Source organism: Homo sapiens, chromosome 4 (genome assembly GCF_000001405.40).
Source record: "Homo sapiens chromosome 4, GRCh38.p14 Primary Assembly".
NCBI classification, from domain to species: domain Eukaryota; kingdom Metazoa; phylum Chordata; class Mammalia; order Primates; family Hominidae; genus Homo; species Homo sapiens.
The window spans coordinates 118,268,040-118,282,807 of NC_000004.12; the positions used below are offsets into that span (position 1 = coordinate 118,268,040).

Below are 14,768 nucleotides of genomic sequence, written 5' to 3' on the forward strand. Positions count from 1 at the left end.
GAGACCAGCCTATCCAACATGGCGAAATCCCGTCTCTACTAAAAGTACAAAAATTAGCCAGGCGTGGTGGCGTACGCCTGTAATCCCAGCTACTTGGGAGGCTGGGGCAGGAGAATCACTTGAACTCTGGAGACGGAGGTTGCAGTAAGCCGAAATCTGCCACTGCACTCCAGCCTGAGCGTCAGAACAAGACTCTCAAAAAAAAAAAAAAGATACTGTAAATAATTATTTTCAGAACCCTTTTGTGTTATTTTATATAATTTACTTTCTTAGTCCTTTTCAGTAAGTTCTGTTCAGTGCTATAAAGAATGGTGGGTATTTCAAAATTCGTATGGCTTTTATCAAATTTAAGTCCTCAATTGCAGAGATTTCTTTCTAGACCTTCTGTTTTCTAAGAAATACTGCCCATTTACATAAATTATCATCCTGATAAAAGGGTTTTAAATTAGAGAAATACAAAAGTCACTTATCTGGTTCTATTCTACTTAGTTTTCTATAGTTTTACTTATATAATTAAGAAATAACTACTAACACGTCTTACATATTCAGTTGAAGGTTTTTTTAATGATTGTTCATTTGGAGATGAAATATATTTATTTTTCTCTCTATAGTGTAAGTATGACATTTATTTTAAACTTTTTGTTTGAAATTTTACAAAGATGGCAGAAAACAAATCTATAGACCAATCATATTCCTGAATAAAGAGGCACAATTCTCAACGCAATGTTAGCATGCAGAATCCAGAAACAGGTTACAGGTAGAATACACGGTGACAGAGTGAACTTTAAAGAGTGAATATGGAAAGGCTGGTTGAGCACTGTCCAGGAAGGTGGAAATTAATCTATTCATTTATGACTTTTTAAATAGACCTTTTGAGGGTGTATGATTAGCTACTGTAAAACTCACCCAGGTGAAGTGTACATCTCATAACTGCTGAGTCATTAATGGAATTGAATAGCCATCATGGCGATCTGATGTCAGAAGATCTCTGACACCCAGATAGAAGGCTGATAGACGGGGTTCCTCATGCCCATTTGAAGATAAGCCCTGCCCCCAACCCAGCCCCAGTCAACCATTGATCTGTTTTCTGTCACTGTAAATTTGCCTTTTTTGAACATTTCATATCAATAGATTCATACAGTATGTAGTCTTTTGTGTCTGGCCTCTTTTCACTTAGTGACATGGTTCTGAGTTTCATCTATAGCATGTATCAGCCATAGCATGTTTTTTTAAAAAAACTTTTATGTTAAATTCAGGGGTATATGTGCAAGATGTGCAGGTTTGTTACAAAGGTAAATGTGTTTCATGGGAGTTTGTTGTACAGATTATTTCATCACCCAGGTACTAAGCCTACTACCCAATAGTAATTTTTCCTGATCCTCTCTCTCCTCCCACCCTCCGCCCTCAGGTAGGCCCAGTGTGTACTGTTCTTCTCTATGTGTCTATGTGCTCTCATCATTTAACTTAAATTGGATTTATTCTTATATAGCATCTGAAGTCTTTTATTTTACGTTTTTGATTTTCTATTTTTTTGGAGATGCAGTCTCACTCTGTCACCCAGGCTGCAGTGCAGTGGCACAATCTCGGCTCACTGCAACCTCCACCTCCCAGGTTCAAGTGATTCTCGTGACTCAGCCTCCTGAGTAGCTGGGATTACAGGCACCTGCCACCACGCCTGGCTAATTTTTGTATTTTTTGGTAGAGACAGTGAAGACCTATTCCAGTTATAAATACTAACTAATAGGAATTAGTTTCAAAGTTTGCCATAGAATTTTTCTCTCTGAAATGATTTCCATTATAAAATTTGAAATATAGTCCTATTGCAGCGGGGAGACTTAATTTAAACTTTTTGGCAAAGAGAGAGGTAAGATGTGCCTGAGGCCAAAAGAGTTAGTCGACTTTGCCGTAATATACTAAGCTACATTCAAAAAAGTTTGCCAGTTTTGCTTAAATGTACTACCCTGCATTCATTTTTCCTTCTGTACATTATGTATAATTTCCCAGAATTCTTTTTCACTTTTATCATCCTGGCTTCCTCATTCAACAAACGTTTCATTGAGCATGTTCCAAAGTACTACTGCAGGTAAGATGAATATGACTACATTCTTGCCCTCCAGTAGACTGGGCAGAAATATTTTATTTCTCCAACAGAATCATTGTCTAGTTTGATATACAACACATTAACAGTGTATTAACTACTTCAGACAGTAGGAAATGAATTAAATCTCTAATTGATGAATTCAGTATGTTAAAAATCTGTATATCAAGTTCACATATTAAAAAGGTCTGGTGTATTCCAATGGTATGTTTAGAATATGCATCTGGAGAAAGTTGTTCCTTTCTGGTAGAACCTGAAGTTTTCAATATTCACTGTAGACATTCATCATATAAAACTAGAGTCCAGAGGATAGGCTTTTAGAGATACTAGATATGCTGACATTTTCATGTTATTATCCACATATACATTAATACATGCATGCACAATGAACAAATGTATTTAATTCAAAGGGCTTTAAACACATACCTAAATAATAAGGTAACAAATTCAAAGGGATTTAAACATATACCTAAATAATAGTGTAACAGAGCCATCTAGTGGCCACATAAAAACTGTTGTTTCATGTGATTTTGTTTCGTTCCATCAAGTTTTACATAAACGTAAGCTTATCTTCCCACTAATACAGATATTTATAATGCTTATGGATAATGGGCCAAAGTAATTTGGAGCTGGGGTACTAGAGTAAATGTTTGACATCCTAAGACATCTGTAATCTATATTGTGTGTAGAAAAAGGAGAATTTTAACAAGTGATCATTAAATTTTCAAATTATCTTAATTGATATGGGATGAAAGCATTAGATGTTTTTAAATTGTTAGTTTATGAATACTCCAAAACAAGATCTTCTCTTTTAATATGCCATATTAAATGTTAAAATAAATAACACTCTTATTTTGCATAAAGGCAAGTAAGCCCAAAAAAAAAAAAAAAGCCTCACTAGGAAATAGACTAAAGCAAGTACCACAAGCCATCTTCGAAAGAAAGAAAAAGTCAAGCTTTTGAGATGTTAAATATTTAATGAAACATAAGTGCAGAATCTCACTGACGTGCAAGCTTCTACAACCAAGTCAGGCGTTCACTCTTAAAGTGCTGGAGGCCAGTTTGAGATCATAGAACACATAGGCAATCCAATTTTTCAGGCTAAACCATAAAAGGCTCACAATGTTGCTTGCCAAACTTTTCAATAAATTTATATTATAAATGTTTCACAATGTCAAACACTTACTCTAAAATCCCAGCTCCAAAATTCTTGGATCACCATCACCTCAAAATTCATGGATCCAACTTAAACCACATTATCAATGTCCCTCACTGTTCTCAAGTATTAGCATCTCTTCTTGTCTAACTTAAATGTCATGGTAAATCAATATAACCAGTCCCTTGCATGCATTCCTTTTCCCTTCTATCACTTTGCTCACTCTCTTGGCAAACTGCAACTTGGTTAACTCCAACTCCCTGTCAGCTCCATACCAGCACCTATGCAGTTGAGCATGATGAAGAGAAAATACACAATCATGCTAGAGATTTGACTTTGAATTCATTACAAGAACTCAAGTGAGCTCCTAATGTGACCGGGGAAACCCACTACTTTTCCAAGTCTATTGATGCCATCTCCTAATTATATTTTTTCCTCTCTCCTCAAATTTCCAACACTCTCTCCCCGATCCTCACTCTCGGTTGATGGCCTGGTTTCCTATTACCCCGGAAAAAAACATTAGTAGATGAGAACATTCAAAGTTCACACCACCCACTCATCCACAAGCACCTGTACCCATGTACTCCTATTTCTATAGATGAACTGCCTAAACTATTATCTTAGGGTAACCCCTACTTTTGTGCACTAGATCCCATCTCATTTCCTAAGCAGTTCATCACATATCTGCTGCATCATCAGTTTTTCCATTTCTACTGGATCTTTCCCATCAGAATACAAACATACTTTAAGTTCTCCTATCCTTTAAAAATGACCCATTCTTGATCCCACATCCCTTTCCAGATATTGCTGCATTTTTCTTCCTCTTTACAGTGTAACTCTTCAAAATAGTTGTTCCGAATCCATGATTTCCAATACTTCTCCTGTTCTCTCTGAAATTACTCTCAACAAGGTCCCAAGTGACCCTCATATAGCTAACTCCAATGGTCATTTCTCAACTTCCATCCTACTTGTATCATAAACAATTGACCACTTTCTTTTGAAAAACTTTTTTGACTTTTAAGGTATCACACTCTGCTGGCTTTTCTCCTTAAATTACTTCTCAACATCCTTTGCAGGTTCCTACTGTTTTTCCTGGTAGATTAATATTGACAGGCTCCAAGGCTCAGTTTCTTATCCTATTTTCTTTTTTTCTTTCTTTTTTTTTTTTTAAGAGATGGGGTCTTGGTTTCATGCTCAGGCTGGAGTGCAGTGACATGAGCATAGCTCACTGCAGCCCCGAATTCGTGGGCTCAAGCGATCCTCCTGCCTCAGCCTCCCGAGTAGCTGGGACTACAGGTGTGTGCCACCACACCTGGCTAATTTTTTAAAAAAATTTTTTGTAGAGACGGAGTTTCACCATTTGCCCAAGCTGGTCTCAAATTCATAGGTTCCAAAGAGTCTTCTCTCTCAACCTCCTAAAGTGATGGGATGGGATTAGAGGTGTGAGCCACTGCACCTGGCTTCTTATCCTACTTTTTATCTATCCTTCCTCCCTTGGTACAATTATCTGATCTCATGGCTTTACATACCATCCATAGTTTGACAATTCACATATTTCTTTCTTCAGGCCAAACCTCTCCCCAGACCTCCATATTCATATATTGAACTCTCTACTCAACACTTCCACTTGGATGCCTAAAAAGCATCTCAAACATAACATACAAAACTGTGCTCCTAAATACTTCTCCCCGAAAACCTGCTCTTCCTGCAGTCTCCATCTCAGCAAATCACCAAAAACCTTAGTCATTTTTCTCATAGCCTAGAATCCCTTTATCTTATATACTTTACTATATCCAATCTGTCAGCAAATACTGTCAGCTCTACAATAAAAATATTTCCAGAATTGAATCATTTATTTCTTTCACTGCTACCACTAACCCAACACCAATAGCTCATCTTATTATTGCACTACCCTAACTGTTTTCCCTGCTCTACCATTATCTCCATCGCTACCCTAGAATTTTTCTAAACAGAGCTTTGAGAGAGAACATGTAAATCCTAAGTTAGATCATGTCATTCTACTCAAAACTCTCCAAAGGCTATCCAACTTATTCCAAAAAAACTAAAAACTGTATAATGACCTATAAGGCCATAGGTAGCCTATCATTACCTTTCTAACTTCACTTCCTACTTGCTTACCTCATTCCAGCCAAACTGGTCCAAATTTTATTCTTCGAACATGCCAAGCTGAGTTATCTATTCTTTCATAACAAATTATCCCAAAATGTAGTAGCTTACAACAGAATTTATTATCTCACACACTTTCTGTAGGTCAAGAATCCACGTGTGGCTTAGCTGGATCCTCTGCTACAGTGTCCCTCCCAGGCTGCCATCAACAGCTGGGGCTATAGTCATCTCAGGGCTCAACTGGGTAGGGATCCACTTCCAAGCTCATTCATATGGTTGTTGACAGAATTCAATTCCTCATGGACTACTGGTCTGATAGCCTCAGTTCCTTGTGGGATGTTGGCCAGAGGCAACTCTGTTCCTTGCCACATGGGCCTCTCCAACATAGCAGCTTGCTAGATCAAAGCAAGCAATACAGAAAGACACAAGAGGAAGTGGTAGCAAAACACAAGTCAGGTTTTAATACCTGGTCTCACATTTCACCACTTTGCCATTCAAGAGATTACATAAAGGAAGGAATAACATGAGGTGAGGTCACTGGGAACTTTGCCTACTGTATCAAGTATGGCCCCAATGAGAAAGCATTGGTTGCTTCGAATATTCCTCTTCCAAATGTCTGCATGTTTTGCTCCCTCATGTTCTTCAAATTGTTGACCTTGTGTCACTTTCTGAATGACATTTCCCCTGAACACCTTTTTAAAATTGTAATTCCTACCTTCCAAACACTTCTCATCTTCTGTGCTGTTTTTCTCCACAGCACTCATTGACGTTAACATACCATATAATTTACATATTGTGATTGGCTTCTACTTTAGTTTAGCTAAGCTAGTCCTACATTTCCCTTCCCTTCCCTGAATAATTCCACGTTCAGAAAGACCACAGGAGACATTTTGTATGAGACCTGGCAAATCAAAGTAAAGCAGCATACACTTTTTACACTTGGAAGGTCAGTGTGGGGCATCAGGCAATGTTGCAGATCATGCAAGTTATCACTTATCTACTAATTGTCTTGTAAGTGTGGGGCAGTAGCCAGATCTATAGCTTCTTCAGTCATCCCAGATCTTCTGTTTCAACTTCAACAATCCCTAAGTCTGTGACAAAGGGCATCAGCTTCTCTTGCAGATCACCTCCATCATCAAAGCTAAACCCTTGAAACCAGGAAGAGATTGGTCCTGATTCTAGTTCATTCTCATGGATTACAGCTCATTCTTGTAGATGCCAATTTTCCTTGGTCCCTCCACTGCACAATTGTGTAAGGTCAGATTCTACATATATGATTTTAATCATATGTATTTCCTAGTAGTTCTGATTCTGATAGAACTCTAATACTCTTATTTGCATCTGTTTTCTGCCACTAAAATGTAAGCTCCATGAAATTTTTTTAAATTCTATTTTGTTTACTCTTTCTAGCCACAGCATCTATGACAGGACCTGGGATATAGTAGAAACTCACTATTTAGTCATGAGAATTTTTTTTAATGTACAGTACAAAGAATAAGTATTAAGGATGGCAAAAATGAGATGAGACCAATATTTTCTAATGTTCTAAAAGAAAGATTACTATAAAAAATAATAAGAACTGAGATGCATCTTAAAGGATGGGTAGGAAGAATGGGTAGAATATTCTATTCTATGAAATAGCATGAACAAAAATAGGAATGAGCATGCTAAGTGTAACATACATTGTATGTTGGCCTGGGATGAGGAATTTTACCTGATAATCAGTAGGAAAGTCATTACACTTTCTATAACAAGTGCTTAACATGTAGAAAATATTTCCAGAAATTTAATCTTTCATTAATATACTTAGTTGATTGGAAGAGAGAATTAGAAATGTAGGGAGACAGCTCAGACATATTATCTTAGATTAGCAGTGTGATATGGTTTGGATTTGGATTCGTGTCCCTGCCCAGTGTCGAACTGTAATCCCCAGTGTTGGAGGAGAGGCCTGGTGGGAGGTGATTGGATCATTGATTTGCCCTTGGTGTTCTTGTGATAGTGAGTTTTCACGAGATCTGGTTATTTAAAAGTGTGTTGCACCTCCCTCTGCTCTCTCTTCCTCCTTCTCTGCCCATGTAGGATGTGCCTGCTTCCCCTTCCGCCATGACTGAATGTTTCCTGAGGCCTCCCCAGCCATGCTTCCTGTACAGACTGTGGAACCATGAGACAATTAAACTTTTCTTTACAGATTACCCAGTCTCAGGTAGTTCATTATAGCAATGTGAGATCAGACTAATACACAATGTAACAATAGAGAAAAGGTAACTATAAAAATAATGTAAACAGTTGTAACTTGGCCACTGTAGAAATCATTAGTGCTATAATAATATATTGAAATACTTCCGATTATCTTCCTTCTAAGCACACAGTAGGATTCCATTTCCCCAGGCTTTTGGAGTTAGGTGTGGCCATGGAACTTGCTTTAGTCCATAAATATGAGTCAAAGTAACATATGTCACATCAGAATGGAATCCTTTAAGAACATAATGACTATTTTCCCTTCTCCCTTTATGTTGCCTAGAACCATTACAAATGGTGAAGGCCTCATTAGCCTGGTCTCTAACATGAACATAAGCATGACAAGAAACAAATCTCTGTTGTTTTAAGCCACAGAGATTTTGGATCTTCTGTAACTGCAACACAACTTCATCCATCCTGACTGTGACACTTTTAGAATTTGTCAACAAAATTTTATACTCCCCTCAAGACGGGCTAATTTCCCTCCCCTTGAATGTGAGCTGGCATTAATAACTAACTTCTAACAAGTGATGGTGTGTAGGCCACAATAAAAAGTGTTGGAGCTTCCTCTCTTGAGTCACTCACTCTGAGGAAAGCCAGCTGCCACGAGAATCATGAGGACAGTCAAGCAGCCCTATGGAGAGATTCACATGCTGAGGAATTGAGGCTTCCTGCCAACAATGAGCATTAACTTGTCAGGTCTGTGAATGAGCCACCTTGAAAGAGAATCCTGCCGCACCAGCCCCAGTCAAGCCTTCAGATGGCTGCAATGCCAGTCAACATCCTGACTGCAACCTCACAAGATACACTGAGCCAGTTAAGCTGCTCTTAGATTCCTGACCAACAAAAACTATTTGAGATAGTAAGTGCTTATTTTTTTTTAAGCTACTAGGCTTTAGGCTAATTTGATATACAGCAATCGATAACTAATACATTGGTTGATACAAAAATATATCAAATACTGAAAATAAAGGATAGGGAAAAATAAGAACTAATTTCTTTGCTTTGAACTTTGAATGATTTGGAAAACATTGTAATGGCACTAACTGTAAGTTACTCAATTATATTCTCAAGTCTTGAGGCAAAGGCCATGTCTGCTCAATAAACATTTGCTGGAGTCTAGTAAATGTTTAACAACTGAACAAGATGTTCAGAACTGACAAGAATATTTTAATATAGATAGGAGGGAACGTCCATCTCCTCTCTTTTGGACACTATGCTTTTTTTTTAACACTAGATCATACTGCAATACACTATACTTTTATTACTGCAGCAAAACCAATTTTTACAGCAGAAGTATCACGCTGCTAGTATACACTGGAAGTTTAGATTTGCTAAGTGTTTTAAGATAGAAATAAGTCCACAGGTTATTTCCTCACTATATTTTCTCCTATTCATCTCAGCATTCATATGACAGATGTGCCATTCTATGTTAAATTTTTCTGATGACTACCAGTTTCAACACTAAACCACAAAAGGAAAAAAGATATAGTGCAGGGAAAAGCATTGTTGAAGAATAAATATTCTATAATGAACTGTTCACTCCATGTATCAAAAGCAGAACTGAAATGTTACCTAGCCATCATTTGATCAGTTCTAACAGGTTCACCTTGCATTCTATCTTTAAAATCCTTAGGCTGGGCGCAGTGGCTTGCACCTGCAATCCTAGCACTTTGGGAGGCCGAGGAAAGAGGATTACTTGAGCCCAGGAGCACAGGAGATCAGCCTGAGGGCAATATAGTGAGGGCTTGTCTTTCAAAAAAAAAAAACCTTAAAAAAAAAGTAGCCAAGTGGTGGCACACGCCTAGCAGGAGGCTCGCTTGAGCCTAGGAGGTGGAGGTTGCACTGAGCCAAGATCATGCCACTGCACTCCAGGCTAGGCAACAGAGCAAGAATGTTTCTAAATAAATAAATACATAAAATAAAATCCTTAAGCCAATCTTCATTTACCAACCAATTTTTAATTCTTTTATTTGTTACCACATTGTCTCTCCTGAATATCCAAAGGCTCAAAGCCTTGGTTTGAATGCAGCTAAATTCATTGGGTTTGATCTCAAGTCAAACTTAGAAATACTGTCATCTCAGCCACAAATTTCACACTAAAGTAGATAGAAACCACTACTAAATCACTACTTTGTCTTAAAATGAAAGTATAATAGACTGTAAGGTTATAATTGCTTTTTTAAGTTAAACTTTGTTTTACATTTACAGAAAATTTGCAAAAATGGAGTCCCCACACCCCCTTCATCCAATTTCCCCTACCATTAATATCTTACAATACCATGGTATATCTGTCACAATAAAGAAATCGGTATTGGCACTATTACCTAAATTCCACACTTTGTTCAGATTCGCTAGTTTTCCATTAATGTCCTTTTTCTGCTGGAGATCCCAGCCAGGATACCACATTACATTTAATCATTATGCATCATTTTCTCTGGCATAATAGTTTCTCAGACTTTTCTTGTTTTTGAGTAGTGATTAGGTAATTTGTAAAATGCTAACCAGCGATCTCAGCTCACCATAACTTCCGCCTCTCGGGCTCAAGAGATTCTCCCACCTCAACCTCCCGAGTAGCCGGGACTACAGGCGTTCACCACCACACCAGGCTAATTTTTGTATTTTTAGTAGAAACGGGGTTTCGCCATGTTAGCCAGGCTGGTCTCCAACTCCTAACCTCAAGTGATCCGCCCGCCTCGGCCTCCCAAAGTGCTGGGATCACAGACGTGAGCCACCGCGTTCGGCCCCTTTTTCTAATATTGTCTAAAATAAGTATCCTAAACAGGAAATACCAAAAAAATCCCCCTCGCTTTCGTGACCTACACCGGTAAGCGTCAGGATCTTTCGCTATGCGAGAACCTTTTGGCTCTCGTATGTGCGCATGCGTCTGGATCCGGAGCCAGGTGACCCGCTCAGACGTGGACCATGTGCGGGGGAGGGGGGAAAGGAGCCGCGAAGGGGGTGGTAGACGGAACAGGTGGAGCCGCGGCGGGGCTAGGCGGGGCGGGGAGTGAAACAGCATAGGCTCCGCCCCTCGCGGCGCTTCCCCCGGAATAGCGTCATCAGTTCTATAAGAGAGCGTGTGCCGAAGGCCTCGGCCTTTCACATTCGGGAAGCGTCGGGATTAGGTGAAAGTACGTAGTTGTCTTTCGTAAGTTAAAATGATAATTGGGCCGAAACTTACTGCCTTACCTAAAAGGCAGCGCAGTCAGGATATTGGTAGGTCGGGGGCGGCTTTGGAAACCCTTAAGTTTACAAGCATGCGCGGACTTGAGTGCTCATTAGGTCGCCGGGCGTCCACGTGCAGCCCTGGACCCTGAACCCCGGCGTGCGTGGGCCGTGGGCCCTCGGGGAAAGGTTCCGTGCACTCGGGGACTCCGGTGAAGCCTGTTCAGCCGTCTGTGTCATGTGGCCATCTTGAGTCTACTCTGTCGCTCTTGTGCCCTAGCACCCCGAGAACCGTCAGTTTGAGCCAGATGGTGAGTAATAACCTGTAGCAGTTTGGTTGCTGGTTAATTCTGGATTGTGAATCTCCATGTATCTTTGGGACCTGTCAGCCGTGGCAGTCTCCCTTCCTAGCCATGGAAGAGCATATCCTTGTTTATTGGCAAAGCTGTCACCATTTAATTGGTATCAGATTCTGACTTGCACAAGTAACATTCACTGTTAAAAACCTAGAGGGTGCCGGGTTATTGGGCAAAATTTCTAAACCGTTGTTCAATGTTTCTAGGAAGCTGAGCTGAACACATTACGATGGATGATGGAAACATAAGGTACATTTCTTTTTTGATATTTCTGAGTTAATCTGAAACGCCTTAGCGGCAGGACGTTGGAAAGCTAAAGTTGGCCCGTTTTGCTGGCTTTTGTAGTTTGAGTTAACAACCAACTGAATTAGCTGATAAGATCTCAAAACAGTGAGGTAAGTACACAGCTCGGAGTTTTATAATGCTTTTTTTCTCTTGCAGACTATCAAGAAATCCAAGTGGTAATGGGCGAAGTTTATTCAGCATCCGGCAATGGACTTATCGTAGTTGGGGAAACGGGTGTTCCGAATAATATCCTGGAAGTTATCAGGACACCTATTTTAAATATAGGCCTGAATTTTGTAAAGTAATATTTAAGGTGGTCCGTGATAATTAAATAAAATGCTTAATTCATGTGGCTACTCATTGTTCCTTGACTGAGTGATTAATAGACGGAAAGGTAGTTAATAGCATAATACCTCCTATTTAGTGTTACACGCTCATGTGGAAGTAGTGTGAGTACAGTTCTAAGGTAATTGCAGCCTTTGTGAAAAATGTAAAATATAAAAATTACCAGGCTACCCCCAAGGGAGACAGCAGACTCTTTTTAAACCATACAAAAATTTAAGGCAGTTATACAAGGTGGAAAATTATGTATTTATTTACACAAATATGCACAGAACACTTGTATCTTTCAAAAGTCACACTTAAGACATAGTAAAAGCATGTTGTATGAACCATGTATTCTTAAGGATTGAGCAAACTGCAGGCTGCTTGCTGCCTTTTAGGTTTGCTAGTCCCTGATCTACTTGAAACAGATGTTGCTTGCCCCAACACTAGTTTAATTATAAGGGCAGCCTGTGAGAAAGTTTCAATAGACATTTTTCTCACCTATATTGCACGTTTTTCTGAAGCCCTTGTGCAAGTGTGTGTGCCATGTGTAGTTCTATTTACATATAAACGCTACTTTAAAAGTTTATCAAAATCATGAGTTTTTACAAAAGTTTTTAATGCTCTTCTGCATTATATGCAGCATTGCAAATCTGCAAAGTAGTAAAACTATAAAGCACCTTTAGGTTTGCACCAGTTATTACAGAAATGGGGATTTGTGAAAAGGATGTAATTTGATGTAGAAGGGCAAAGTCCTTTAATGACTGGCATTCAAGAGGATTACTTAAAACAATTTGTAAGTTCATGCTAACCTCTTCCCTATATTTATACTACTGGGACCTGGGGAAGGATCCATGACATGGAAGTATCTTGAGTGTGCCTTTTAAATTTGAGCATTACTGCTAAGAATGTTCTGTAAAGGTGCATAGTTAAGCAGCTATCCCTTAACTCTTGGAGAAATAGCCATAGGGAAACCAATCATTTAGGTAGGAGAACCATGGGGAAAAAAATCAGCATTTTTTCTGGAGTTTGGAATCAGTTTCACCAACTGGTCTCACTTTGAGGCAAGCCTGTTTTCCCCCATTTGAAAACAAGGGCTACTACCATAAGATTTACTGGCCTTTTGCAAATTGTCAGTGATGTGCAAAGCTGCCTAATGCAGTGCCTGGCATATGTTATAACTGCTGTATGTATTAGAACTTTTCAATGTGTAGGCCAGGAAAGCATTTTGACTAGTATATTTTAAGATTGGATTGTATCAGGTTGGGCTTGGGAAAACCTGCAGGTATAAGTCAGTTACAGGGAAGTGTCAGTGGGTGGCACTCTTACATCATGGTCGGGGAACGTGGACTATGATGAGGTGCTTGTTAAAAGCAAATATAGTAGATATGTTAATGTGTTGGATAAAATAGGTTGTATGTCCAGCTGGCATTTAGTTACCAGAAATCCTTTCAAATTTTGCTAGTTTATACGCTGTAGGTAGAAAGTATTTTTATCTTATGGTTTCTGTAGCACTTGGTACTCAACAAGGATACTTGTTTCCAAATATCAGATCACTTTGAGAATATATTGTGACAGGCAGATGTCCTTGAGGCTTTACTACTCCTATTCAGGCCTAAAAGTTTATAGTGGAATTCTTTAACCACTGATTTCCTCACTTGACAAAGGCTACAGAGAATATGAAGATTTCTTGTCAAGTCTTTTGAAAAGACCTAAGCATAAATATGCCACTCATGAGTGTAGTAAAGGGTACCGCATTTATGTCAAATGTGGGTATTTAATATGATTTCAGACACCACTGATTCAATTAAAAGGGGTTCTCAGTTCAAATGTAAAAATGATCTTTTGTAAAATCAGCATAGAATGATTTTGAGAAATAGGTAGGGGATAGATGAGGCTTAGAATAAGTCACTCCAGTGAAATTAGGGTAGAAAATGTTCATTTAAGGATTATCACTTCCACTACACTGAGGCCTCTGAAAATGTTCACAAATTTCTCAAAAGCAGCAGGGGGTACACAATTTTTTACCACAACACAAAGCAAAAACAGATCTTGCCATTTGTTGTCATCTCTGCTGAGTGCTAATAGTGGGGGTTCAAAGTTTTCCATTTGTTTAAATGCTGCTTTGAAGTTTCCATGAAGAATTACAGTTTGGTGACACTTTTTATCCAAGGTACAAAGGCTGAGACTTTGGTATAAACACCAGGAGAATCCTTGACTCCACAGCCATACCCCCAGGAGGTCACCCCATACACCACCCAGCTCTCTCCGGGCCGTTCACACATGAGTGGTCCTCCGCTGTCTCCCTGGCAGCTGTCCACGCGTTTGTGTTCATGGAGGTTTCCAGCACAAAGCATTCTCCCTGTAAACCGACCCTTATAACGTTCTTCACAAAACCTTTTAGGAAGTAAGGGAATGGCTGCTTGTTGTAGTGTTCTTGAATAGGCTCGTCCTACTCAGACCAAACATCTGATTAGTGGCATTCCAGATAACCATCGCAACATTTAACAGTTACTGAGCATGTAATAGTTATGAAAATAAAATCCCTGTTGTGGCATTAGTGTAGTTTAAAATGAGCAATGACTAACTGGTATGTACTATTGTTAGCTGCCTTTTTTAATGTTGACACAATCTTAACCTTCACAAATTTCTCAGTACTGAATTGTCTGAGGAATAATGAATAACATTTATGGATTTGTAGAGTAAGGTGACCTAAGAAAGCATATTTGTGCAGGCTTTCGTATTTGAATTCTGTATATTAAAAAGCATAGAATGCATTAATGCTGGTTTCGCATTAGCACATCAATTCATATCTACTTCACTGAATTAAACTGAGTTCTCAGTTTATGCTAAAGTTCTCATTAGAACCAACAATACCTCCAGAATATAAGTCTCAATTACATGCATGCATTTCACACTAAGCAAAATTTCTCCAAATAAGTCTGAATCCATTTAAGATCTTATTGCCCATTGCACACCCAAATATATGGATAATACCAGACACAAAAAGGTGCCC

The 14,768-nt window shown here is 39.0% G+C and overlaps 1 protein-coding gene, 1 long non-coding RNA gene and 1 other non-coding gene across 6 annotated transcripts in view, besides 2 other annotated features; 2 read left to right on the forward strand and 1 right to left on the reverse strand.

The window, feature by feature from the left end:
• Positions 10,251 to 10,430: an enhancer, noted in NCBI's record as "active region_21845". NCBI's record gives its function as "activates an Ori minimal core promoter by ATAC-STARR-seq in GM12878 lymphoblastoid cells {active_cell/tissue: GM12878}" and the evidence as "EXISTENCE:reporter gene assay evidence [ECO:0000049][PMID:35858748]".
• Positions 10,501 to 10,550: a silencer, noted in NCBI's record as "silent region_15649". NCBI's record gives its function as "represses an Ori minimal core promoter by ATAC-STARR-seq in GM12878 lymphoblastoid cells {active_cell/tissue: GM12878}" and the evidence as "EXISTENCE:reporter gene assay evidence [ECO:0000049][PMID:35858748]".
• Positions 10,723 to 11,784, forward strand: SNHG8 (small nucleolar RNA host gene 8). 3 transcript variants are annotated; one of them, NR_034010.1, is made up of 4 exons: positions 10,723 to 10,753; positions 10,905 to 11,098; positions 11,350 to 11,392; positions 11,585 to 11,784. It is a non-coding gene; the product is annotated as a small nucleolar RNA host gene 8 (long non-coding RNA). The 3 variants fall into 3 exon arrangements; NR_003584.3 differs by having other exon boundaries at positions 10,723 to 11,098; NR_034011.1 differs by lacking the exon at positions 10,905 to 11,098.
• On the forward strand, positions 11,151 to 11,281 carry SNORA24 (small nucleolar RNA, H/ACA box 24). Its single transcript, NR_002963.1, has one exon. It is a non-coding gene; the product is annotated as a small nucleolar RNA, H/ACA box 24 (small nucleolar RNA).
• Positions 11,999 to 14,768, reverse strand: part of PRSS12 (serine protease 12) — a 72,966-nt gene continuing 70,196 nt past the window's right edge. Inside the window, exon 13 of one of the 2 annotated variants that reach the window (NM_001440549.1) lies at positions 11,999 to 14,149. In NM_001440549.1, coding sequence (NP_001427478.1) covers positions 13,995 to 14,149 — 155 coding nt within the window. In that variant the 3' untranslated portion in view covers positions 11,999 to 13,994. Of the gene's footprint in view, positions 14,205 to 14,768 lie in introns of both variants that reach the window. The other variant, NM_003619.4, reaches the window with a different exon arrangement.